Source organism: Homo sapiens, chromosome 5, assembly GCF_000001405.40.
Source record: "Homo sapiens chromosome 5, GRCh38.p14 Primary Assembly".
Classification (NCBI taxonomy): Eukaryota; Metazoa; Chordata; class Mammalia; order Primates; family Hominidae; genus Homo; species Homo sapiens.
In genome coordinates this window covers 113,228,424-113,243,056 of record NC_000005.10, presented here as the reverse complement: position 1 = coordinate 113,243,056, position 14,633 = coordinate 113,228,424, and the positions used below count along the sequence as shown (strand labels likewise).

Genomic DNA, 14,633 nt, shown 5'->3' with positions numbered 1-14,633 from the left:
GACCACTACATTGGATATTTTGGTTTAAACTTTTTAAAGTAAGTAGTTCAAGAGAAACAGACTTTCCCTCCATGATATCTCATTGTGAATTGCATTTGCCTGATGATCTCGCTCTCACTGAGGAGAGGAAACTCTCACCACCACTGGCTCCTATCACCCAGCTTGTCCGGGTCTTGCCTGACTGACTCCTGTTACTTTTGGTAAAGTCACGGCTTTGCTTTCTCGATTTCCACAGTACACAGTTTTTTGTTCCTTTTGGTGAGATGGAAGGGAATGGCTCTCTGAAGTACCCGAGATGGGAAGCACATTTCTCTGTGGTGCATGGTCTTGAACTGTGTCCATCTGGTTACCCCCGTGTGGTCATGTTCCTTGTTCATAACCCTCTTGAAGTGCAATGCCCTGGGCACTCTGCCTCTCCTGCTGTTGTCTAAGAAGGCATTAGTTTTTTGGGCAGCTGCTTCATTGATGAGTCACTGAATGTATAGGAAACCCAGATTCTTGAGGGATTAAAAAAAAAACTAATAATTAACTCTTACTAATTCATATCTCTGTTTTGCGTAGTTGTTTTTAAATGTGAATGTAAGACTTAATTTTTTTTCCAGTTAATTTTGTCCTTTATTATCTGAATCTCTTCAGATTCTCTTTGGATGGGGTTCTGGTTCTCTCAGCTTCTATATTGGCTGTTCCTCCTCCTAAAGTGGTGTCATCCAGAAGTTTGAGAATTATACCATTGACATACTTACCAATGATGTGAATATACTAGAATGAATGCCTTGTAACATATCACTGAAGGCTTTTTCTCCAAGTTTAGTCTTTCAGCCTAGCTATTACTCTCCTGACACACATGAACTCAAATGGTATTCTGAAAGAATTTAATATCTTGCTTAAGTCCAGAATATTTCTAATGAATCTGGGTATACCTTGCAGTATTGGTCTACTGCCAAAGATGGCCTATGATGTGGGATTAGGTTAGCACCAGTAAGGAGTTAGAAGCAATGAAAAACAGTGTGGTTTATGAGAAGGAGGGTGTTCATTTTATACTGTTGTTTGATTTGGTCGTTCTCTATTCTGCTGGATTAGTTCCTTGAATATATGGCCACCTGTTTTTTTCCTAAAAGAATGTAAAAAATCTGATTTGAAGCTCTATGGGAATAGCTGGATTAGCCAACAGGTGGGCTTTGGAGCCAAGTGTTTGTCAATCTGAATGTCTTTGCAGTTTTTCCAGAGAAGACTTGTCTAGTCTACTTTGGAGATGTTGGCCTGGCTTCCAACATTTGGCAGAATGAAACTTTGGAGAAGGAAAGGAACAGTGGAGACCCCTGGCTCAGATTACATGCTTTCATGTAATACCTTTTTTGATTTCAGTCAAAGCCTGTAGTAACTGAGGTCTGTGGTCTTCATATCACAGAGTTCTCTGTTCTTTAGGGAAGGTGGTCAAGGTGAGAGACAGTAGTCCTGTATGTGTGAAGGGTTAAGGCAGAGACCTGGAGGTCCAATCTCTCTCTAAATAAACTTACAACTAGTTTCTAAAGTTTCCAGCCTCATGTCTCACTCCTGTTTTTTGTGGTATACAGTCTCTCCAAACCTGAGCCTCTCTGGGTTTCTATGAGAGTAAATTATTTTTCTTGGTATCTCCTCCGTAGGTTCTTTAGGCTATCGCAGAGTTGAGGAAGTTAAATTGGGCATCATTCTGTCTATTCTGTCTTTCCAAAATTTGTTGAAATCACTCCTCTGCTATCTTCCCTCCTAGTCTCTTGCCCTTAGCTATTTCTTTAATTTTTATTTTATTTGCTATCATTTTAGTCATTGTTGGAAAGGAAAGGTGAGAAGTGTGTAGTCAATCTGCTACATTTAACCAGAAGCCTACGTTATACTCCTAAGAAAAGACTGCAAGTTAGTTGAGTTTCTGTACAGTTTAGAGCAATATGTCATATAGCTCAGAGCTTATTATTACTATGAAACTAAAGCTATTTCTAAATGACCTATAATGACACACTGATATTACTCAGTTTCTGATTCAACTAATTTATAGGACATCCAGAGGATCTGGCTGTTGTTCCTTGTGTGGGAGCTGCATGATGTCCTGGAGGAGCAGTGTTGTGGAATGGGGCAAAGGTGTCTTCTTCACCTGACTCCGTGATGCTCTGAGTCAAATAACTTCCTCGCCTAGTACCCAGCTCCTTATTTTGTGAATAAGGGTCTGGTCCTCAAGGTGTTCTCAGCTCCTCTGGTCCTGAGGCTGTGCCTTCTGGAGCACAGATTCTGGTGGAGTCTAATGCAGACCTCCATCTGCTCCTCAACAGCAACTGGTACATTAACTGGGTGATTTAAATGGCCCAGTTTGCTCTCTGAGTATAGGAAAAAAGATGAGAAATCCTGTTACAGTTGGCATTAGACTCTTGAAGGAAGGGAAATGTAATATTAAAGCAACCTCCATTGAAACCATCCTTGCTGTAAATAGTGCCACTGATGTATTAAAGAAGACGTATCAGAGGAAGGGGAGTGGATTCAGTGGAGTCAAGCTACATATGCTAGAGTGGATATCATGAATCATGCCATCGACTTATGTCCTGTTCAGTTGAAAGATGTAAACATAGTTATTTTCAAAGCCTTATAAACAGATTCCACACCTATCATAAGCAGGTTAGTTCAATATGGTCTGAGTTCTAGGTTTATTTCAGTGGAAAGTTTAGAAACGGACTTCAAATTAGTTTAAATAATAATAATATTAGCTCATATAAGTCCAGGAGTGACTTACCCATGGCTAGATCCTGAGGCCTGGGTATATTTAGGCCTTGCTCTCTCACTAGCTTTTAATTGGGTCAAGTTTTCAACACCGGGCCAACTACTCTGCTGGGGAGAAGGGTATCCTGACTGTCCTTCCCTATGCAGTCACACAGAAGGCAGAGGAGTGGCGGAATGGGAGAGACCGACATGACAGCTTTCTACCACCCTCCATTCCATATGTGGAAAGTATAATCACTTATGAAGATTTAATTTGCAGAATAGGAGACCAGAAAAGAGTAGGTAATTTGGACTTTTCAAAAAGGCAGAAGCCACTGGAGGATACAAATCATATAATGAATGACCAGATGAGATTTGTGTCTAAAGCTCAACCTGAGCTCTGTGTGGAGACTCAGTCACCTAAATGGAGTTGGAAATAGAAAACCAGGTAATGATCAGAAACTGACAGGACCTGGCCCAGAACCAGGAATCTGTCTTCCACCACGTTTGGATTTCACCCAGAGAGGAGTTGCCAGTTCACCGTGGGAAATCTGACAAATGAGAAATGTGTATATAAAAGTGAGTGTATATACCATAGTTGCCTAAAATAAGCACCCCAGGCTTAGACTGCATCCACAGAAGCCATTTCTCAATGAAGTGTTTGCCACAAATGGGCAGCACTTTGAAGTCTCAGAACTCGAGTCCTCTTCCCCATCTGGACATTACTACGGAGTTCCTTCTTAGTTATGGCTGAGCCCACATCCTCTTCTCTGGCATCATGGTCCCAGAAATCCACAAATGGATTTCAGCAAGTGTGTGACTGAAACCCTTTAAAAATGTATGAGGACAAGGTCTGCTCCACTTACCAGGTTAAGAGGGGCCTAAACTAAAGGTGTTTGAGAACTCTGCTGCATGCGAGGACCCCCTGGAGAAAGGGAGTACCCTGCTTCCTCTCAGAGCTGCCCTTTTGGGATTCCAAACTCCTATTACCCAATTTATCTCCGAAAGAGACCCACAGTATACTGGATGTTTCCATGGCAGATTTATTCCTGGGGCCGTCCCCACTGAAACATGGAACATGTTTTTCTAAAGAGATCTTGTCATCAGTATGGCAGCAAATGAAAGTAATGCTGATGTTATTGTTTCAACTAATGGTGTCCAAACTTCTCTGTTTAAATAAAGTTAGAGCTTTAACAGCTTGTATGTCCAATTTATGTATATTTACAAATTAAATACCTTTAGTACTGTATTAATGTTATATATCCTAAAAAGCAGAAATAAACTAGACGTTAAAGGATAAGATTGAAAAAAAACATATGCATGAATATTCTCTTCACATTTCGATGAATTGTCATAGTTACCTCATCTTTTAAAACCTTTGTTACCTCTGTTTAAACCCAGGAATTAAATAGATGTTGCAGAGTAAGTTGGAAATATGTACCTCTTCTTGTAACTGCTTCTTTGGAAAATATGTTTTAAGTTCTAAACAACCATTTTACAAAAATTGGAAATGCCATTTTGTTAAAAATTTGAGACCATTAGTCTTTTTCTCTTGCCATATTGGATCACCTTGATAGTCGAGGCAAACCATGGTAAGAATGGAATTGCAGTCTTTCCACATCCCATACCCATTGGCATGTGGGAGGATGAAACTAATCAAATGTGCTGACATTTTTTTCTAATCTCTGGTCTCTTTGTTTATACTATGAACTCAGCATTAACAGCCTTCATTTTTGAATTGTATACAACCAATAACAAAATCTTAAATTTGGGGAAAATCTGTAAGCAAAATTGGGTCTGTCGTAAAGCACCAGGATTTTTTTGTTAGTTTGTTTTAAAAGCTTTATTGAAGAGTCTTTTTAGGAGAGAGAGTGAAATGCAGGACTTGCTTTCTTATGGGTCATCTGTCATGTATAATTGCCAAATAGGAAATAGGAGAAAAGACTGGAATGAAATATACAAAATTCTACCATTAGTTGTGGATAGTGATTTTTTTAGGTGGCATTTTCCCTTCATTTCTCAGTTTTTAGTGAAATAATTGCTTTGATTAAAAAAAACAGGAAAAAATGTTTCCAAATATTACTGCCTTTCTGAAAAGTGCCAGAAGCTCATCAGTTTGATTTAATGTCTATTTCAACAGTGGTGCCTCTACCCCCAAAGCCTGGTAATTTTTGCATCTGAGTTTAAGTGACTGGTTGCATGCATTTTGCTGTGAGTGCTACTTATGCCATGAGGGAAGCCAGATATAGCTGCATTCTTGATGTCTGTCTGATATCAGTCTTGCAGCCAGAAATTTTTGAGCTCTCTTTGGTAAAGGAGAGAAAATCCACAAAGCATGCTTCCTCCACCTCTGTTTCCCTACTTCAGTTTTTTCCCTCCCCAGCTCCCCAAACCATACTCATTCATGGAAATTATTTTTCTGCTGTCACTGGAAAATAATACAACTCTGATACTTCAGGCATGAGATGACTCTGATTGTTTTTCAGTGTTCTTGCCTTAGACAAAATTAAATCACCGGCAGTGTGTCGCATCCAGCCAACATCAAAGCTCTTGTCTGGGTTCTATGAGAGCCTTGCAAGTTTCTGAATCAGTCAGAAATTATCGCGGAGCTGAGACTAATCAATGAGGAAGTTCCATTTTATTTTTCAAATATAATTTCTCTTGTAGCCCATGTGTGTGCTTGTGATTTCTCTAAAATACAGCCGGCCCGTTTTCCCCTGGCCCGTGTTTCCTCCCAGTGCCTTGGTGACTGCTGTCATTTTAATGCAAGTAACCCTTCTTGGCAGAAATAAGATTAGGTAATTTTCTGACCTTCTAATCCCAGAGGCACCAATTCTCCTGGCTTGCCATTTTGTTTTTAGGTTTTTCCATAAAAATATTTTTGAACATTAAATGGGTAGTGGAAGCAGTTGGTATTTGCTTTTCATGGAACACATTTATTTCCGCATATCAATGAAAATAACCAAGTCATATTAAAATATTTTTGTGCTACAAAATTCAGAAATTTTTGTGGTATTAGCTTTAAGCATAATGGCCCAAAATGTAGTCATTAAAAAGTAGAAGTAAAATGTTCACATTTTTGCCTCAGTGATCTCAGTAGTATATTTATACCAATTAAATATTTAACTTACATATAAACCATATTCTGTGGTTACTCCTGAGAAGCAAGATACTTAGTGGATTGTATACGCCATGATTTATTCCCTGAAGGCGTATACATTTCCAAGTTTCCTTTGAACAGGCAAGTTCAGTCAATTAGCAAGTATTTAATGAATTCCCCAAGGACTTCCAGTGGATCAGGAGCCCCGTTGCCACTTTCCTTCTCAATTTTTTCAACTTGACAGAGTGAAAACAACTGACATTCAGAGTCTAATTTCTTTCAGTATATTCATTGCAGCTTTATGTTTTTAAGACTTCATGATAAATTCAGTCGAGGAAGAAAAGAGTGGGAATGCTCTCCTGGTCCAGCCTCCCAGCGAAGCCACCCACCAAGTGTAGCCACCCCGCCTGTCCCCCGTCCCCCTGAACAAACATCCGATCAGTTTGAGGAGGGAGGGAGGGGCCTTAGTTCTCCTCTCTGTGTATTCTTCTGGCTTTTTATCTGCTCTGCCCTAACCTAGGTGTTCAGCTTAATCATTTATTGTACCTCAGAGTGACTCACTTGGAAATTGTAATATTAATCGTTGGCAACGCTAACAGTGAAGATAAACATTATAATGGCACTCAATTATATGCCTGGACTCATTGTAAGTATTTTATAATTCATAATCTAATGAATCTTCAACTACCTCAACAACCCTAGACATAATTATCCCCATTTTTCAGATGAGGAAGTGGAGACACAGAAAAAATTTAAGTAACATGTCCAAAGTCAAATAGCTAGTAAGTAATACAACTGAGATTTAGTCATGGGAGTGTGGTTCCAAGAGCCCATGCTCTTATCCTCGATACTGCCTTTCTCTGGTCCCGGAAAGCTTTTCTGCCACCAGCATTTCTAGAATTTATTGAAATTTGCATTCCAGATTATTGGTGTCCTTCTTGGTTTATGCAGCAAATGCAGCAATATTATTTCAAACCTAGGCTCAGGCATATTGGTTTATGCTGCAAATGCAGCAATATTATTTCAAACCTAGGCTCAAGCATACCTCACCTCTCTCAGCTGCCATCTCATATTGTCATGGGAGTGTGACTCATTCTGCAGATCAGAGAGCCTTTAAAAGAGGATCTTGCAGCCAGCATTTTTACCTGTCATAGAATTTACTCTTCAAAGGCACCCAAGGGGCCCAACCTGAACATGAGGAAATCCGACCTACCTAGGTTAGAAGACCAAGGAAATGGTAGCGGGAACATCACCAAAGCTGCCTCAATCTTCTGAACTCTCTAAAACTTTAGCAGACTCTGACCGAATTTTAACGGCTACCAAAATCAGGTCAAGGAGGCAGAATAGATATATGTTCAGACTCCAGTTCTTTGTGTTCTGCAGAGTTGAAGCTGCAGAACTGGGCATAACATTGAAATGAAAGAATACCCCCTCAAAATGATTTGTTTCCTGGAGGAATGTAAAGTGGGAAAATCTCTTAACCGAAATGGTTTCTCTGCAGGAGAAATGGTGCCCAGTCCAGAAATCTTCTTTACACCTTAAGTGAAGGAATACTTTCCAAGTACTGAATCTCCTTGTGTAGTTTTATCATAAAGGGACATGGGCCAGGAGAGAGTTGCGAAGCACTGTGCCCTCAAATGGCAGGATTGTTAAATCCACATTCACCATTTTATTTGTGTTTCCCCACTCAGTTCCTGTATGCATGATAGAGTTGGATCTTTTTCATTCCCAAGTGCTAAATTCCACTTAAATTGATGTTTTCCTCTGAGGATTATTTACCTCTCTCTTGTTTAGTGGAATGAAGAAACTAATGCACTAACATAGTCTAATCAGATATAAAAATTATTTGGAGATTCCTTTGGGGAAGTAATATGGAATGTATGTGTGTTTGATAATTGGAATCTAAGTTAACAAAGAGGCTAGTGTTTTTATTTAGAGAAAAATTCCTCTTTGATTCATTTCTCAAGTGCATTGAAGTCAGACTTTTGAAGAACCCAGAATATGAAGTGAAAAAGGATGAGGAGAGTTTTGTGGTGTTCTCTCAATTGATTTTTTAAAAAGCCCATTTTTATTGTGGAGCAGTTTAAAGTTTTATATGGCACCTTTCACCTCGGGCAGCTTTAGGAACAGAATCAGCTCACTCAAACAATTCCAGAAAATCTGCTGGGCACAGCCTAGGAAAAGCAGAACTTACAAGGAACATTTTAGGAGCATCACTGGTAATCGCATGCTCTTGGAAGTTTGCCAGAAGACTGAGGTTACCACCTGAATTTCTGGCAGCGAACTCAAGAATCCTAATTGGATCAAGCCTTGGTTTTATCTCCTTTCATAAGATATTTTTGTCTCTTTCATCTACCTTTGGACTGAATTGCTAGAACCCAAGAGTTCATAATTTAACAAGGAACCTGCCACTGCTTTTAGTAGCTTGTGTTCTATTTGTCATCTGCATATCTGGGGCCTGTGAAGAAGTATAGTATTATGCACAAGGCTGGGTGGAGCACTGAGTTTCCTTGAGGAAATGGGCAGGAAGAAGAGTCCTGTTTTAACTCTAGTTGTTTTCTATATATAATATCTGCACTCAACAGATATTCTCTGTTTTTCTGTATTTTTAAAGGGAAATTGGAAACTATGGGTAGAGATAGAGACCTCTTTTGAGGGATTTGGGTTTAGTAAAAAGCCCGTCTAGGGGGGCTTCCCTGGCATGCTGAAGCATAGGAAGATGCTGCAGTGTGCTCCTCTACTGTGATCTGATGCAGAGTTGCCACTTCTAGTCACACTCCACAAAGGAAGAATGTGGTAAGGCTGATTGCATTTTCTTATTGAAGTGTTGCTCTCAGAGCTTTCCTTGGCTTGCTAGGATCATGACCCTTGATTTTATTAAAATTTATATATTTTTATATAAGATTTAAGACTTATAGTAATGTGAAGAATCCATCTCATATATGCTAAATATTGAAAGTGACCATGGAGCATTTAAAGGTAATTTTCAGTATCATGATGGTGTATTATATAATAAATAGGTTTCTTGATATATTTTAATGTCTTTTATCATCAAAGTAATGATTAGGCCATTTCATTTTCACAAACTATCAGTTCATGAAAATAAGCACCACCAAATTTAGTTAGTCAACAAATATTGAGCACCTGTGATTCTTTTATTTGCTAGTCAGAATAGAGCTTTAAGTTTAAACTCTGTGTTAATGACAAGTGGCTCAGAACATTCCCTTCCACTGTTTGCGGTAGAGAGTGGTAGGACTTACTCTTTTGCATATACACTGTATCTCCCTGTTCTTTTTCCTCCATTGTCTCCCCATCCTATGAGTTCTTTTCCATTTAAGAGCAGAGAATGATCAGATGAACAGAGTTGCTTCTGACAGAGTCATCCTAGACCATCTGTTAGACTGACAAAATTTCATAGTTGTTAGGATTAAATGTTATTTGTAATCTAGGGATTTGGGGCAGCCAAATATATCTTAGGTGACTCAGGATGGATTTGAATCTAATTCTCAAGGAAATGTTGATTTAATACTAAATGTTTCTGACATGCTGTTGCCATCTGGCTGGAGTTGGGGTGGAGGGAGACAAAGGGACAGTGAGAGAGAGGAGAGAGAAGTCACATATGTGCCAGTTAGTATCACCCCAAAACTATAAATCACAAAGAAATAGCCATTTTATTCCTTTTCTCAATCATTAGATTGTTCCTTGGAATGAGGGCTTAAGATACCCAGGGTTTCAGAGAATCTGTCAAGTTTTAAGGAAACTTCATTGCATTCATATTTGTGTTTGGAGCAGGTAGTATGAATACCTTGGTCACCTTTTCTTAAATTCATGCATTCTAGTCTGAGACATTGAGAGGCATTTGGGGTAGACATTTGAGATGCACATTTAGTTATCTAAGATAATTATAGGAAAACATCAAACCTTTTGGCAACTTTCCGCCCTTAATATGGGTATTTTCAGCTTTTGCAGTTCATGGTAGGTGTTACATACATTTGCCGATATAACTTGCCATGTAAATAAATATTCCATTTGGTTCCAAAACAGTTTGTTTCAAAGAAGCTTGTTTCCTCTCCTCTGATAGCCTCAGATAAAGTGGATGGGCCTATAACACTCATTTCCTCTCTTCACTAATATTAGTGATAGTCAGGTTTATAGAGCACTGCCTGCCTGCTGGCTGCTTTGCTAAGTGCTTTACAGGTATTTCATTTAGCCCTGTAACAAGACTTATAAAAGATTATAAGTCTTTGAAAATAACTGCCTGCTCCATACGCTTCAGACTTCTCCAATCCTGGTTCTGCTCCTGGGTAGATACTTTAAATCATCTCCATTTTATAGTTGAGAAGACAGAATTTAAGGAACCTGCCCCAGGTCACATAGTAACTGGTAGAGCCTGGCTTTAAGCCCAGACCATCTGGCTCCAAGCCTCCTTAAAGCACTCTGCACATGGTGAAGAGTCTGGGTTTTTCTAAAGATCCGTATGAAAGTTCTGCCTCATATAAATATTATATTAATTATACTTAATTTGCAATTCTGTATTCTTGTGTTCAAATGGGTCCTTTCTTGCTTTAATAAATTTTCAAAGTACTTTCCATTAAAGGTTTTTTGAAGTGTTGGTACATTGATGTGTGTATAATTATGCATTAATCTGAATCTGAAAGTTAATGTGAAAAAACTACCAAGTAAACTGACAGAGTCTCTGATCTCAGCTTTTTTGGGCGTGCGAATTCAGAATAGGAAGGCAAAGGGAGTGTTTGGAGATGCCTGAAAGCTGATAGACTTGGGCAAGGGTGTGGACATGTTGACTCACATGGCCTGTTGCTATTATGTGCTAGTGTTCAGGCATCCAATTCTGGAAGATTGATTCCAAAATTATGTAACTGGACTCCTCATTCACCCACTGAAATCCACTGAGACCCAGTATCCCAGCATTGGAAGATAGAATACAACCATACTACATTAAATGGATTAAGCAGAAATGCAAATCTGAAAAGGATTCTGGATATGTTGTTTTCCTACTTCACTGTGGATGGATGTGACTTTCATGCTTGTTCTTTTTTCCCCTGGAGTTTAGAAAATTCAATGTTAAAAGTGATACATTTTATTTTTGCTTTTATTTTAGAGTTTGCTTTAAGGTGAAAGCTAGTTAACAAATAACATAGTATCTTTGTGCTTGAGGTGGTGATAAACTATTTAGGCAATTGTATTTCATAGTTTGAGTCTACATTATAAAACCAGGAGGTTGTTTAGATTCAAAATTATATAGGTCCTGTACAACTTAGTGTCAGTAAGTTGTCAGATATATAGTAAAAACTAGAGATTACTGGGGATTAATAGAGTTGAAGTCTACTAAGGTAGACAATGATTTGGATGTTCATTGGCAACACTGACTATGTGAAATAGCCTTATAATAAATATGACAGCTTGCAAAAACCCACTGGATATCAGCAAAACCATGATATTTGTCTCAAAGTTCAATACATATTTTTGCTATTTCTTTCAGACACATTGGCAAATTGGTAATCACGACTATCTTAGAGACATGACTTGTAACTTTCATAGCTGTCAAGAAAATTTGTTGACATTTTCTTCCTAGGAGGAAATTCCATTTTAGAGATGATATGGGGGAAAGAGGATTAATGAGAAAGCTCATTAACATATTTGCCTGTAGGAACAAAGTGAACATGGGAGACAGCCATGACTAATGGGTGAAACATCACCCATGTCCTGTGGTCATATGAATATTCTGAGTTGTGATCTGGCTAAATAGCAGGTCTCTTTCATTGTAACTTGGTAAGAATATCTAATTTACAAAACTGAAACAAAAGGACACCACTTTGTAAGGATTTGTGTCCTAAGACAGATTTTAGATGGAAGCATATTTACTGGTGATGTGTGAGAATGTAATACAAACTGAACTCCTAAATTAAAGAGTTGGAAGTGTGACATTAAGAAATTTCTAAAACTGGGAAACTCTCTTCTTATGGTAAAAGGGAGAGACTCGCAGGGAGTGAGAAGCACTGAAATAGGGAAATGTTTTAGTACCTCAATCCTCAGTAAAAAACAAAACAAAAAAGGCTTACTCTGCATTTCTCACCAGTGATTTAAGGTCAAGCTCTTGAGATTTTTTTTCCCCCTTAGGAAACGTTTCTGGAATTAGAGTTTTGGAGAAGAGGATTTGCTTTTCAGAATGAAGTCTTTAAAATTTTTGACTGCAGTATATCAGTTCTACAATCCAAGAAATTCCTGTAGCTGGGGGAGTGTTTGTCGGGCTCATCTCTTTAGAATCAGAAAATTCCTTTAAGGTATGGGGAGCACGTAGGAGCATGATAATAAGAATTGAGATAATGGTCTGTTTTGCAATCCTCTGTAGTAATACAGCTCAACTGATTGAAGAGAAAGTCAATGGAATGGTAGTTTTCATTTTAGAGAAATCACAATATGTGAAGGTAGTCATGTAGCTAGGTTCACATAACTGAGGTGAAAATGGACACTGGGATTCTTTCCTCATTGCACCACATATTTATATCTGCAAAATAGTACATTAACTTGTATCCTCCAAATATAGGAAGAGTAAACCTTTTTCCAAATTAGACTATGTTAATATATTTTTACTGCTTTAGATGGACTAGATCCTTAATTCTTGTTGGATCAGTATAGCTTTGCTGAATTGAAAAGTCAGTGTGAAAAATTCTCTCTGTTAAAGGAAGAAATGTCAAGGTATTATAGCTTTCAGCTCATTATGCTAGAAGGAATGATAAGATGGGCAATGTTGCATATAAGAATTTGATTAGGGCCCTCTTATTAACATTTGTGATATCACATTGATTAGTTTCTGAAAACACATTGATGTTCTGTGTTGTTTATGTATGAGATATAAGTTCTCCCTCTCCCTCTGTTATCTAAAATTGTATGACCTAAAAGTCATATTTCAAGGACATTGATGTGTTAGCTGTCTTAAGAGAGTCTTCAAATTGAATTCTTAATGAAGATATTTTTAAATGATGAAAGCAACTGTTAACATCCAGTAACAGTAAAAGTAAAAAACCAAAACAAAAAAACAAAACTTACTGCTGCCCTAATTTTGTAGGAAAAAGGATTAGGCAATTTAACTCTACAATGGCCATTTTTAGAATCCACTATTTAACATCTTCTTGACTGGGGACTGAGAATCATATGAAGATTTCAATTTGCTTCCATCCTTTGACTACACATTAGCTAGAGAGAAGATTGTAGTGGAGCAGAAATGCGGCATATATGGTAGTGATGCTTCCCTTAACAACTGGGATACATTTTGAGAAATGTGTTGTTAGGGGATCAGTTGTTCAAACTTCATAGTGTCCTTACACAAATTTAGACGGCACAGTCTACTTACTACACATCTAGGCCATATGGTGTAGCCTGTTGCTCCTATGCTACAGACCTGTACAGCATGTTACTGTACTGAGTACTGAGTACTGTAGCCAATAGTAGCACAGTGGTAAGTATTTGCGTATCTAAGCATATCTAAACATAGAAAAGGTATAGTAAAAATGTGGTATTACAATCTTACAGGACCACCGTTGTATATGTGGCCTGTCTTTGACTAAAATGTTGTTATGCAGCACATGACTGTAATTGCAAAATAGTTCTCTAGATCACTAAAAACACTTGCCGGAGTGATTGTATCCTAAACCCATGCAGAGGGCATTAGAAAAGTTTGGGCCAGTAATCCTCAGGAGGATCACTTTTGCTGACCTGAAAACTTTTCATCTTTTCTTTTTAAGCTAACCTCCTCCATTTGCGTGTTAATTGAAATCACTGATATTTCACAGTACTAGGTGTTTGGAAAAACATCTGATTGCAGTTTCTGGTTGCTATTAGTTATCATTAAGTATTTACTTACAGGATATTTAACCTTATACTTCTTTAAAGAAACAGCAGTATTTTTTCAGATTCTGAACATTTTAAATAGGCATTTAGTTCAGGTGTAACAGTGTGGCCAGAACACAGCTGTCTCTTGGCTGTTTTCTCACATCACTGGCTATCCCTTCTTCGTCTCTGCCGATTCTTCAGCCCCTCCCCATCCGCCATGTTGGGATGTCCTAAAGCCCTGTCCTTCCACCTCTTCTCACCCAGTGCCAGGGCTGTAAAAAACCATCCAAACACTGACCTCTAAGTCCATACTGCCAGCCCAGGCCATAATTCCAGACTCATATTCAGCTGCCTCTTCATCTTTTCTTCAGTGTTTAATAGGTATTTAAAACTAAACATGATAAAATCAAACTCTGGACTCCACATTCTTTCCCATATATGTAAATGGCAACCCAATCCTTCCATTTTTCCGGCCAAAAACATTGACGTGTTTCTTGATTCTTCTTCTTCATACCCCACAGTAATCTGTCACCAAACCCACAGCTAAGCTATGAGCGTGTGTGTCACCTGTTTTTGATGGCTTATTTGCTCCGTGTTTCTTGTTTTTGTAACTGGTCTCTGCATCCATCCTTACCCTCTACAGTCTGTTCTCACCACAGCAGCTGAGTGATTCTTTTAAAATATAAGTCAATTCATGTTATTCCTCTGCTCAAAACCCCTTTTCTCTTGCACTCAGTATAAAAGCCTCTTAAGTCCTGAAAGTGGGCCCTGTATGATCTATACCCTACCCCTACCACCACCTCCACCTTCCTTCTTGTTTTTGCTGCCCCAGATACATTGGTCACCTTGCTGTTCCTCTAGCATTTCAACAACAACTTCTCAGAGCCACACTTTCCCCAGGCTTGTTGCTCACTTCCTATAGGTCTACTCAAATGTCACCTTAACATTGAGGCCGTTT

General features: G+C 38.5%; 1 protein-coding gene across 2 annotated transcripts in view, besides 1 other annotated feature; it reads left to right on the top strand.

Moving 5' to 3' along the window:
* Nucleotides 1-14,633, top strand: part of MCC (MCC regulator of Wnt signaling pathway) — a 466,348-nt gene that overhangs the window by 245,397 nt on the left and 206,318 nt on the right. The gene's annotated exons all lie outside the window — the stretch shown is intronic.
* Nucleotides 6,688-7,662: an enhancer, noted in NCBI's record as "NANOG-H3K27ac hESC enhancer chr5:112571092-112572066 (GRCh37/hg19 assembly coordinates)". NCBI's record gives its function as "activates a minimal SCP1, AML or CMV promoter by ChIP-STARR-seq in naive H9 embryonic stem cells {active_cell/tissue: H9 hESC(naive)}" and the evidence as "EXISTENCE:reporter gene assay evidence [ECO:0000049][PMID:30033119]".